General features: G+C 37.6%; 1 long non-coding RNA gene across 1 annotated transcript in view; it reads left to right on the top strand.

Moving 5' to 3' along the window:
- Positions 1-10,497, top strand: part of LINC01248 (long intergenic non-protein coding RNA 1248) — a 56,978-nt gene extending 46,481 nt beyond the window's left edge. Inside the window, exons 4-5 of the long non-coding RNA NR_110580.1 lie at positions 9,028-9,222; positions 10,322-10,497. This is a non-coding gene — a long non-coding RNA (long intergenic non-protein coding RNA 1248). The remainder of the gene's footprint in view (positions 1-9,027; positions 9,223-10,321) is intronic.
- Positions 10,498-13,535: the final 3,038 nt, after the last annotated feature.

The following is a 13,535-nucleotide window of genomic DNA, read 5'->3' as shown; positions in this document are numbered from 1 at the left end:
GTCCCAAAACCTCAAAAGTTGGGAAGTAAACAATGCAGTCTTCAGTCTGTGGCCAAAGGCCCGAGAGCCCCTGAAAAATCACTGGTGTAAGTCCAAGAGTCTAAAAGCTGAAGAACTTGGAGTCTGATGTTCGAGACCAGGATGCTTCCAGCACAGGAGAAAGATGAAAGCCAGAAGACTCAGCAAGTCTGTTCTTCCATCTTCTTCTGCCTGCTTTATTCTAGCTGTGCTGACAGCTGATTAGATGGTGCCCACCCAGATAGAAGGAGGGTCTGCCTCTCCCAATCCACTGACTTAAATGTTAATCTCCTTTGGCAACACCCTCACAGACATGCCCAGGAACAATACTTTGCATCCTTCAATCCAATCAGGTTGACACTCAACATCAACTATCACAGCATATATGTATATATGTTTGTTTAAAAACACAGCAAGATATCGGAATAAGCTTTGTAAACTAGGACTATTTGCAAAGTTATTGTGTGAATATAAAGAACTAATATATATCTTAAAATTTTCTGTAGAGGTAGTTGTATACACAGGCTGTAAAAGTCAGCATTTTTCCTCATATTATTCCAGAACACATAAAAAAGCAACAAGGAAAATGGAGAAAAAAAGAACCAAATATATCCTTAGTGAAACTAGAAAAAGTTAGAATCCAAAGATTTCAAAACGTATGTAGAGATGACTAAATCTAGTTGGAATCAGGCACAAGCCACATGGGAGTAAATGAAGTATGGAGGTAGTGAGGCCAATGGCTGATAATCTCAGAAAACACCAACAAAATGTACTCCCTGAAAATTTGGGAGTTCACTTCCATGTTCAAAACTTATACCCCTTTTTTTAACCACAGGAGTGGGAACCAGGGTACACAGTCTACCAGAAAAAGTCCCCTCCTGGACCCAGTTTTGTTCAAGGGAGGAACAAGGGAGATTCAACCACACAGAGAATCACCAGAGGAGCCATACTTGCAGGAAGCAGTCTGTCTCTGTGACAGCCCAGTTGGAAAGAGCCATTCTGGTGTGAGGCCCAGAAGGTTGTCTTAATTCTCTCTCTGAACCTCTGTAGTTATCTAGGAAAACCCAAACCATTTAGTAGTATATTACAAAAATAAAAGGAAATAGATACCCATTTATACAAAAATTATCTAAGCAAACATTTGAAAAGCAAAACTCAAGTATTACAGAGAAAATGAGAACTATGGAAGACAGACAAATGGATTGAACACATACATTACTGGAACATCCAAAGAAGAAACCAAAAGAGACAGAACGAATACTTCAAAATTATAATTAAAGAACACTTCTGTGCAATGCATGAAGACTTGAATCTACCTTTCAAAAGGGCACATCAGAAGCAAGGTATATCCATTCATGACAGGCAAAAAGTGAACCACATCTTAATGAAGGTATTGGACTTAAAAAAAATAAGGTATCTATTGGGCAGCCAGAAAAAAAGAATAAGTCACTCACAGGAGAAATGAAGAAGGCTGTCCTGGCTCCCCTAGCTGTACTGAAGCTGGATGGTAATGAGGGAAGACCAATAAGATTCTCAATGCCAACCAAGGATTTTTATGTGCAGCCAAGCTAGTCTTACTATGTAGACATGATATATTACAATTTGTTGCGGTTTTTATCAAGCAAGAATTCAGGAAAATATATTTTCATTAATGTTTTTGAGAGAACAAAAACATGGGTATGTGGAGAAAAAGGGCAATACATTTGGTTACAGAAGGAAGGAAAACAATAACAACCAATTAAAGGAAGATGCTTTGGTAAAATACAGCAAAAAAAAAAGTTGTAAGTATTGAATGTATTTTACTGTAGACTGAAGCCAAATGTGGATTAGGGTTACAGAATAGGCTGGAAATGTCATATGCCCCAATAACATAGAAATAATACACTTTACCATGTCAAAGGTGAAGAAAGATAGTGAAGGTAAGGAAGCCTCATTAATTACCTCACTTGTTATGACTACGATGCGAAGGATAAATTTTAAAGGTGGCAAACACAGCAAAATAAAAGCCTACTTAGCAGTGCAATGGTAAAGTAAGGAGGATAACATTTACTATCCTCCTTACTTACAAAGGGCACCTGCCACTGTATGGTGGTGGGCTGGTATCAACTCAGTCATACCCCTACCTGGAACCTAGGTTGTAATGTTAGTTCCACCAGTACTCTTCAGATCAGGCAGCATGATAAAGGGAAGGAAGGCATTAATCAGCACAAGTAAACAATAGCTGATATAGGTTCTGCCTCTGCTGTTGGTCTATGTTCTATGTTGATAGTCAGCTCCTCTTTTTTATTTTTTCAAATCACCTATCAATGCTCCCTTTACCTTCTACCAACACCTTGCCCTATCAGAAATTTTAAACTAGTAGTATGACCAAAATTTTCATTCCAATAGACTGCAAATCCTTTACAGCTACAGTTTCCCACTAACCATTATCTTTGGACACTAGTGAATTAAGGAGCCCCAGTAAATTGCCCATGTTCTAGATGTAATCTTCTTTGCTCCCATTGTATACAAACACTCCAACATCCTTTGGGCACTGTAAAATGCCAGTTCAAAATAGGAATTCTCTATCTCATAACATGAAAAGCCCAACATGATTATAGAACAGTCTCAGGTTATCATTGAATGAAACCAGGACTATGTTTCTTGATGCAAAATTCTTCCCTTGGCCCTAGGACTTCACAACACACTGAGTATAAGGAGTTAAGAATGAAAAATACAGATCCCATCAGTGTAAGACTGAGGGAGGTCATACCCAATTTCACCCTTTTGTTTTCTGACCGTGTGTTCTAGTATTCTGGCTTTGTGGAAAAGGTGGAGTGAACTTACAATTCAGTTATCTAAGTCAGGTCACTTTTGACAGTGAAAGTGGTTGTTGTTAATAATTATGTTAGAAATTATTATTATTATGTCCTGGGAACACTGGAGCACATGGTCACACAAGAGACAGAGTCATACATTGGTCATTGCTCCACAGTCATTCTGCTTGCTGGAGAGGAGTGCTCCAGGCCTGCAGCATGCCATCTCTCAGCTCGTACTGTGCGAGAACCTCCAGGAAGCCACCTCCCCTTCTGTAAAGCCACTGGGTATCTGCAAGACAGGCTACCAGCAGCAAAGGTGGGCAAAGAGAGCACTGGTCAATGCCCGAACTGTGGGATGTCTTAATCTGTTTGTTCTGCATTAACAGAACATGGACATGGAGGCTACGTAGTCTATTGAAAAAAACATATTTCTCACAGTTGTGGGTCCAAGATCAAGGTGCCAGCAGATCTGGGGGCTGGAGAGGGTTGCTTTCTGCTTCCCAGATGGCGACTCTTGCTGTGTCCTCACATTGCAGAAGGAATATAAAAGCAAACAGGATCTAGCTAGTCCCCTAGAGTGCTGTTATAAGGGTATATAATCACCTCCTCAAGGCCTCACATCTTAATCCTGTCACACTGAGGATGAAGTTTCAACATGAATTTTGGAGGGACACAAATATTGAAACCATAGCAGGAGGCAGGGAGTGTTTTCGTGGAGAGAATACTGTTGCCATCACTGCAGTTCCCACTGCAGAAAAGGAGTGGGAGAAAATTACTCCCAACTCTCTGTCTTCTGGGCATCCCATCACCTTACATTGATCTCCGTCAGCCAAATCCACATGGAAGTTCAAGCCCAGGAAAGCCAGAGTCATGCTATTTATAGAGATATTGGCAGTTTTGGGGTGCATAAAGTGGGGTAGAGAATAAAGAGGGGTTGAAAGACAAGTGAAGATAAGCCATCGCTGATATCTGTCAGATACTGTGCAGCAGGGGCTTGGGGGGAACTGGCTGGTTTTGGTCAATGCTGTCTGTGAACACAGCCTTGGGAATGGAGAGACAGGGCTGGCTGGCTGGATTACAAGTGGGGAGCATCAGGGCAGGTTATTTGCTCCATGTGTAGCTGGCAGACTACCATGTGGTTTTAGAATTTGGAAACTTCAGTAACTTTGCAAAAACTGCGACACAAAATTCGAAAACTATCTTCCATCATATTTTAAAATTAAAGAACACATCATTTTAAATGTGTTCTAGGAACACATCTCCTTCCTCATGGTACTGGCCTTTTCTATAAATATCTCAAGCTCCGTTAAGCTTTTCTTAATAAAAGTATGGATGCACAAAAGAGGAATATTTTCTGCTTCTTCCAATATCTCTTGAGGTTATTAACATGTTTGACTTCTTAGTCATGATAAAATGGCTTTCAGTTATGACCCCTCCTCTCCTTTTTTTTTTTGAACTTTCCCAAGACCACCATCCAAACTCAAGCCTTCATTGCAACTGATCAAATCCAGTGCAAAAGCTTTATGGTCTTATACGTAGCATCTGCCTTCAATCTGCTTGCTTCAGTGCCTCTTCCACATTGCTACCCAAGTATCTTCCTAAAACATCACATTAAGTTGGGTGATTTTTCTGCTCAAAAAGCAATCATGGATCCTCTTTGCATATATAATAGAACACAGTTCTTAGCCTAGCATTAAACATGTTCCGTAATCTGAGCCTAGTATGTTTTTTCTGGCTCTACTTCATTCTTAAGCTATCTATGCAATACAGATACGAATTTGAACATGCCCAACCTCTCTTGCCTCAGTTATTTCATTTGTCCAATTCCTTTCATCTAGCATGCAGTCACCAGGATTTGCCTGTGCTGTAAACCCCACTGTAGCTCAAGGCTCCATTCAGATTCACCCTCCTCCATCAAGCCTACTCTTGACGGTTACATTTAATCCTTCCTGATAGATTAAGTCCTTATCTTCATGGTGGACCTTCTGTTCTGGGTGCTATTATTCACCTTGTGGTTTCTGGGCTGTCTTGGCCAAGTCTTCCCCCATAATGTTAGCCATCTCCCAGACTTAAAGTTTACAAAGCGTACATTGTCCTTTTTTTGTTGTTGTTTTTTTTTTGTTTGGTTTTTTTTTTTTTTTTGGTTTCTTTTTTTGAGACGAAGTGACACTCTGTCGCCAGGCTGCAGTGCAGTGGCGTGATCTTGGCTCACTGCAACCTCCGGCTCCCAGGTTCAAGTGAGTCTCCTGCCTCAGCCTCCCAAGTAGCTGGGACTATAGGCACCCGCCCCCACACCCAGCTAATTTTTGTACTTTCAGTAGAGACAGGGTTTCACCATGTTGGCCAGAATGGTCACAATCTCTTGGCCTCACGATCTACCTGCCTCGGCCTCCCAAAGTGCTAGGATTAGAGGTGTGAGCCACCATGCCCAGCCAAAGCATATATTTTCTCATTTATCTTTACTTGTGATGTGCTACAATCATAGATATTAACATGTTTCCCATTTAGCAAGACTAGGAAACTGAAGCCTGTAGATTTTAGTCACAAAGCTAAGTAGTATACACCTCGGAAAGGAATTAATTCCCAGATACAAGGATGTATCATGCACCACCATTGTCTCTGTTCTACAGCTGCCAAAGTGTAGAAGTAAAGTGGGTGCACATGCTTCATTCTTCAGCAGTCCACCAAGGATCCCCTGAATCCTTCTGCTCACATAGGTGATGGTAGTCAAGAGACCTGAAATGGGTCCGTCTGGAAAAGCAACTGATGAATTTAACTTTCTACATAGTTAGAAAACAAAAATCAATGCACTTAGACAAGTACCTGGAAGAATTTGTATATGATTTAGCATCTTTGTGCTTTATGGACAAAATGAATACTACAGAAAAAAAGCATTTATAAATGATAAATCTATCAATCCAAATAAAATACCATCTACTTTGTGATGTATTTCTTTTTCTTTTTTTTTTTTTCTGAGATGGAGTCTTGCTCTGTTGCCCAAGCTGGAGTGCAGAGGCATGATCTCAATTCACTGCAAGCTCCACCTCCTGGGTTCACGCCATTCTCCTGCCTCAGCCTCCCGAGTAGCTGGGACTACAGGTGCCCACCACCACGCCTAGATAATTTTTTGTATTTTTTAGTAGAGACTGGGTTTCACCATGTTAGCCAGGATGGTCTCCATTTCCTGACCTCATGATCTGCCCGCTTCGGCCTTCCAAAGTGCTGGGATTACAGGTGTGAGCCACTATGCCCGGCCTTTTTGATGTATTTCATAAATAACTAGAGTGGCATTACTTTAATCAGTTAAAAGTTTGTTATATGCAAAAATTTTAAAAGTTTGCTGCATGCAAAGGGCAGGCTTTCTAAGTTTGTGACCGATCACAAGGATCCAAACTATTTTATATTTGTTTCAGATAACTGTAAATACATAGAAATTCATGTTAAAATTAGTAACACACCATATTTTTGCATGTTTTATTTATTAAGCTTGTTATTATATGTTTTCATATATTTTTTCTTCTGTTTTGATCAAAATGATGGGAAAATAAGCTTGCATATTATAAGGAACACATTTCCCCCAATAGTAAGTGGCTTTTGTCTTTTGCTCTTTGATAAGATCTTTCAGAGAGACTTTTAATTTTCATCATTAAGTTTAATTAAATTTTGTGAAGTGGCTGGTTCAATATCACATGGCTTTGAGCATGAGTAATCAAATCGTACGTGTTTCCTGAATACTATCATCAACTTCAAATCTTGAGTTAGAATATGCACTTAGAGTGAGTTGACATTGATGACAATGGATATAACCTATGTTTCAAAATGCTTTCCTGATGATAATGTAGAATTTTTGGCTGACTCCTTGCCATTGTTTTAAACTTTGCTACGTGGTTGACAAGAGTATATACAACTAATTGAAGAAATGTAGCTCTGATATTTTATTGTTCTTGAATTATCATATTATCTAAATTTGGTATTTCTTTGTAGGAAATTTTTTAACCCACTTAACCTTTTGTGAAGTTAGTTTAGTCAAAAGTAGACAATTTAATCCTTGAATTCACTTGCCATGGTTAAGATGACTGTGCCATTTAACAATAGCTGCAAGAGATCCTGTGAGTGGGGCTGTGGGAACTCCTCTGCCCTCTGCAGGGCCCACATTTCTCAGGAAACCAGTGACTTCACTTGCTATGCAAATCTCTGACATGCAGCCTGAGTGGGGAGTCCAGAATCAGTCTACATGTTCAATATTAGTAACACTTAGATATTTGCCTACTTTTTAAGATAACAGAAATAGATATAGAAATTCTCACAATTTATTTCCAGAACCAAATTGACCATTTTTTAAAGCCAATTTTGAATACTTTTCATCTTGTAGATCAGATAAGTCCATATTGCTTCTTGGTCCATACTGAGGGTTTGATTCTCTTGGATTACTGAGGAAAATAGGCTCCATGGCCCAGTAACTGCTGATGACCTCAAATTCTTTCCATCGTTGGAGTGTGGTCAACATCAGCAGTTGATGAAACTGAAAGTCAACATTTCACTTCAGCTTGTCCTGGAACTAAACTGAGAAGAGGTCTTTGGAACTGGTCACACAGGGAGAAGTATCCCAGTGTGAGGTCAGATGCATGCACATTTCTCAGTGATGTGACTACACACTGTGAACTGTGAGACTGACACTTTCTCCATAGTGAGGAAAAAGACCTTGTTGAAAAATGCCAGAGTACTATCTTGGAACCCCAGAGTATTCGCATGACTCAAATACCAAGGGCTGTTTTTTTTTCTCCCCAAAATGGCTTAGAAAACAAAATGTATGGATCTGATTGTCTCTTATACAAAGGCACGTTAGAGTTTGTAACCTGTGTAAATGCTGTAATTAAAACCTTGTTTTTACATGGATTCATTATGTTAAATTCTTCAGTAATTACTGACATTTTCTTTAATGTGTACATGTGGCGAACATAAGAATATGATTAGCTCGAGTTAAAAGTGTAAGCAGTAATGAGCATATTATGGGTCTCCCTTTGTCTTTGGTCACTCTAAGCTTCTTGACAATAAAGCTTGACTTTTTATAGATTTGCTGCACTATGCAATTTTCTGTAAGCAAATAAATGCATGTAAAGTAAAAATGACAACATTCACATACATATGTTGAATGGTACAGCTTCTCTTTACATTAGCTCCCCGAGTTACAATCTCTCCCCTTGTGAAGGTACAAGTCAGTGATTAAAGTGCAGAACAACTTCCCCAATACAGGAATCCAGCTTCTGAAAATATCTGTGCTGGAAAACTTGCAATGGAGGAATGGAAGACTTGAGAAAGGGAGGGCTGGGAAACAAGAGCTGTGACTCACCCTGAAGACATTCATAAATATCTATTTTAATATCTATTACAATACAGCAATAAAGGCAAACTAAAAAAGGCTATACAAGGCATTTTGCACATCTTCATGTACTGGGCTCTCTGAAGCCCATTTCCTGTTAATATCTTTTGCTGGAAGAATCTTCTCAGGATCTCCCCTTCTGTCTGTTCCAACCAGACTCTCGTACATTCATTTTCGTTCCTCGTGGGTAATACACCCACTGAGAGACATGTTCCTTTGCTTTTTTTTTTTTCTTCTTAGGGGGTTTCTCCACAAGATTCCTGGTTGAGTTGATGGAGTGAAGGTCTGTCTGTCCCCCACTTTTTTTTTTTTTTTGGAGACAGAGTCTCACTCTATCCCGCAGGCTGGAGTGCAGTGGCGCTATCTCAGCTTACTGCAACTTCCAGCTCTTGGGTTCAAGCAATTCTCATACCTCAGCCTCCCGAGTACCTGGGATTACAGACGTGCACCACCATGCCTGGCTAATTTTTGTATTTTTAGTGGAGACATGGTTTCACCATGTTGGCCAGGCTGGTCTCGAACTACTGACCTCAGGTGATCCGCCTGCCTTGGGCTCCCAAAGTGCTGGGATTACAGGCGTGAGCCACTGTGCCTGGCCTGTCTGCCACCTTTGATGGACAGTGTGACTATAAGGACAGAGGAAGATTCCCCAAAGACCTGCACTCACCTCCTCTAATGCATGTCCAGGCATCGTCTGGCTCTCAGCACTCCCCTCCATTGCCCAAAGCCCTTTTGCAGGACCTCTGCCTGTTCTGCCTGCTTTGTGCTTTGTTTTGTTGTATTTTATTTCCTTTTCTTTCCTGTTTCTAACCCAGTCATCTCTTTTTCTAGTTATTCCCAACCTATATAACTCACATACACTGGAGGAAATATCTTCATGGAATTAAAACCACATGGAGTAACATTTCACGTAAGCAGAATTCAGGAATGATTTCAGTAATTCCATCCCAAACACACACAGGCAAAGGGAGTGAAGATTTCTTCAGCAACATGGTGGCAGAAAGATCATGAAAAGATCTAGGCCAGGCAAGTATGCAAACAAGACTGACTCTTCCTTTCCACTGGAGCTTTGGGTAATTGCTCTGACAATTCTATGATTTGCTGAAGCCACGGAAAATCAGTTTTAAAACAGGATTTCTACCCCTGGCTCACTACATGACAAATAATTTTATCCTGTAATCTTCTGATGTTAAACAAAGATGGCCCTCAATGTAATTGTTACAGTGCCTCCTCCCCACTTCTGTTAGCTGTTGCTTCTCTGCCTCCCATGAGTTTAGTGTAATCCCAGAACTTTGGGAGACCAAGGCGGGCAGATCACTTGAGGTCAGGAGTCAGAGACCAGCCTGGCCAACATGGCGAAACCCCATCTCTACTGAAAATACAAAAATTAGCCAGGCATGGTGGCTTGCGTCTGTAATCCCAGCTACTTGAGAGGCTGAGACACAAGAATCGCTTGAATCCTGGAGGCAGAGGTTGCAGTGAGCTGAGATAGTGCCACTACACTCCAGCCTGGGAGACAGAGCGAGACCCTGTCTCAAAACAACAAAAAACAAAAACCGAACAAACAAAAACTGTAATTGCTGAAACGCTCTTTTTCATCAATCATATATATTGAACCACGGTCACGAAAACATGGGAAAAGTGTAATTTCTGCCTCTGAGGAACTCACAGTCTAGTGGGAGACACCATTTATTCATCCATTCTTTCATGAAATACACATTGAGAATGTAACACACCCTGGGCAAAGGAGAGGTCATTTGACTATGACACAAGACAATAGTCATAGTCTTTGCTCTCATGGAATTCACAGCCTAGCCATGGAGATTAAAAATAAAAAGATCTAATAGAATAAAGAGTAGTAGATTTAAAAACACTGGAAACCCAGTGTGCAGTAAAACTAAAAAAGAGGGCTACCTAACCTAGTGTGAGAGGTGAGGTAGAGGTTAGGGTGAGAAAGGATGGTATAGGAAGGCTTTCTGGAAAATTTCAAGATAAATCTTGAGGATAAGTCAGAATTATACAGGTGAAAAGTAGAATAGTGCCTGCTACCTTGCAATTGTTCAGCAAACATCTGCAATGATTACTAACTGTCTGTCAGTTTTTGGCTCTGCTTCAATCCTCACAGTCCAAGCTCACTGCAGTTAAATCTTCAGTCTCCAGCACTGCACTTGGGAAAGCGTCAAGGAGTTGAATGTATATGTAATTGGAGTGCCAGAAGAAGAGAACTGAGAGAGAGGGGCAGAACAGCTCATGAGGGGGAAAACCCACTACATACAAACAAGAATACTGCAGACTCCTCATCAGAATCTATGTAAGTAAGAAGAAAATGGCCAGGAACTATAGAGCTGTTCTTTAAAGTACTTAAAAACATTTTTGCCAACCTAGAAGTCTTTAACCAGCAAAAATGTCTTCCAAAAAGAAAAGGACTTTTCAGAACAAATACTGAGCTAATTCATTATTAGCACATTTGTACTACATAAGTGTTAAAGAAAATTTCTTTAGTAAAAGAAACATAATACCAGAAGGAAAATTTGATCTATAAAAAAAGAAATTAAGAGTCCCAGAAATATATAAAAATTATGTAAAAATTTTTTGTTTTTTCTCCTTAAAAGATAATTGATTATTTAAAGCAAAAACAATAAAGTGTTATAGGATTTGTGGCACATGTTAAATGTATGCATTTGAAGTAAAATGTATGATAACGGTAGTTAGTGCAAAGACAGAAGAGAAAAACTGACTTCTCCTACTGTACATTCTTTATACTCTACATAGAGCTGTGATAAGTTAAAGATGTGTATTGTAAACTCTAGATGAAATAAAAATTTAAAAAATAAAAATAAAATTAAGAAGTAAGATGGAACAAGTAGAAAACAAATAGAAAGATGGTGGATTTGATTTTAGTTTTATCAATAATTATATAAATTCAAATAATCTAAACCCCCAGAATTTTTAAAAATGGGAGATAAAAAAACAATAAATATTATGTATTATTTGTCATCATCATTATTTTATAAAGGGACAGGGCATAGATTTGGACAGAAATAGTAAGTTTTACAATAAGAAATGTTACCGGAATTGCATAACATTTCATGATGTTAGAAGGGTCAATTCAACAAGAAGACACAACAATACCAAATATTGCCCAACCATAGAGCTTTAAAATATACAAAGAAGAAATATACAACAGAAAAAAGAAAGGGATATATCCCGTTATTGTTGGAGATTGTAGATTCTAACCCATTTTTTTCAGTAACTAATAGAATGAGATAAGAAACCAGCAAAAGGATAGAAGAAAAGCAATACTCTTAATCAGATTTACCTGACTGACTTTTCTAAAACAGTCCACTAAACAGCAATATAAAAGACATTGTTATCAACTGCACATTTAAAACATTCACTAAAATTGATGATAATCTGGGCTATATAAACATGTCTCAGTACATTAAAAAGAATAGAAATCATACACAGTATGATCTCTAAGCACAACTAAATGAAACTAGAAATAATTTCCAAATGTTCTGAAATGAAACAACACACTTCTAAAAATTCCTGAGTCAAGGAGGAAGTCACAGATGAACTTAGAAAGTATTTCAAAGAGAACGAAGATGAAAACAAAAACAGAATATATCACAATTTGTAGGATGCACTTAAAGTAGCCATTTGGGGAAATGTGATACTATTACATGCTTATATTACAATGGGAAAAATTCTGAAATTTGTAAATTTCAAATCATTCATGATATGTCAAGTCTTCTCAACTTGTTTTTCTTAAGGACTGTTTTGGCCTTTATTGTATAGTTTATAAGTTCCACAAAATGTATTGGGAATTTATTGGAATTTTGTCAAACCTATATAATTTTGTCAAACTCAAGCATAATATAAATATGTTTGAGGAGAATTAACATTATTATAAAAGTGAGACATTTAGCCTATGAACATAATACATATCACCCCTCATTTTGATGTTATTATTGTACAAAAGTTTTATATTATTGTATATAAAGACTTCGTACACTATTTTAAAATTTATTCTTAAATTTTATACTTTTCATGAAATATGAAGTTAATTTTATAAATTATTATTTTTAACATTATTGCTGGTGTAAAGAAATACAATTCCTTTGGACAATGAATTTTGTATCTAGTAAATTCATTGAATTTGTTTATTAATTTAATTCATGTACAAATTTTTGGATTTTCTATTTAAATAATCATATTGAAACTACTGCATTTTAATAGTTTCTCATTATTACATTTACATATTTACTCATCTTATTCCTAAATTCAAAGATAATATAGTTCACTCTTTAGTATAAGTACATTATACATTTAGTGTAGTACAGGTACATTATGAAGTATAATGTTTACTAAAGCTTTTCTGTAAAATCTTTCTCAGGCTAAGAACATTATTTTTTTACTAGAATATAATATTAATAAAACATAATCTAGAAAAGCGTAAAATTTACCAAATATTTAGATTTTTAATTTAAGCATCATGGAGAGAAATGATGCTCTCATGGTTGAAATGCAGAGGCTGGAGGCACAGATGTTCTTAGAGCTGCTATATTGTTTGAATCAACAGTGACGTATATAAGCAAAATTCCACAAAACCACAGATTTAACTGCCATTATTATTCAGAAGTATCTGGTGTTACTTCTGGTGTAACAAATGGACTATTGTTAGGATAAAGAATATCCATATGAAAAAGTGCTTTACATAAAGTAGAAACTTAAATAGTAACATAATCTGGGTACAATCCAACAATAATAATTAGAGCTTTGCTTTCCTGGAATACTATGTGCTAACCCTCTTCTAAGGGATTTGGATATAGATTTCAGTGATTTCAAGAGAAACGTTTGTCTACTTGTTCAGATTTTAGTATCTGAAATTGCAATGTATCTTACATTAGATAAGCATAACTTAATTTCAGCATTATTTAATATTAGTGCATTAAAAAGTGTATGTCATTACCAATGGTATTTTAGATTTAGTGAAATTTTGTATAATTTCATGAAACACTAGACACTATGGAATCAACTATAGTGTAAGGTCTACAAAAGCAGGAAATTCTATTTTAGTTACTCTTATAGGAGTCACTTGATAAATATATGTTGAATGAGTTGTCCAATGAAATAAATAAAGGCACAGCATTCTAGCAACATTCAGGGGGCAGTAGTTCATCCTGTGACCTCATAACACTTGAGCAGTGATGTGGACATCACTTGGAAATGCTCAATTTAATCAGGTATGTTCATAATGAGGGCTTCTCATTTTTCTGTGAAAATACTAAAATATACTGTCTTTAGGGAGGAAGCAAACAATGTAATAAAATATAGAA

This window comes from Homo sapiens, chromosome 2 (assembly GCF_000001405.40).
Source record: "Homo sapiens chromosome 2, GRCh38.p14 Primary Assembly".
In the NCBI taxonomy this organism is placed as follows: Eukaryota; Metazoa; Chordata; class Mammalia; order Primates; family Hominidae; genus Homo; species Homo sapiens.
This window is presented reverse-complemented; position numbering and strand designations above follow the sequence as displayed.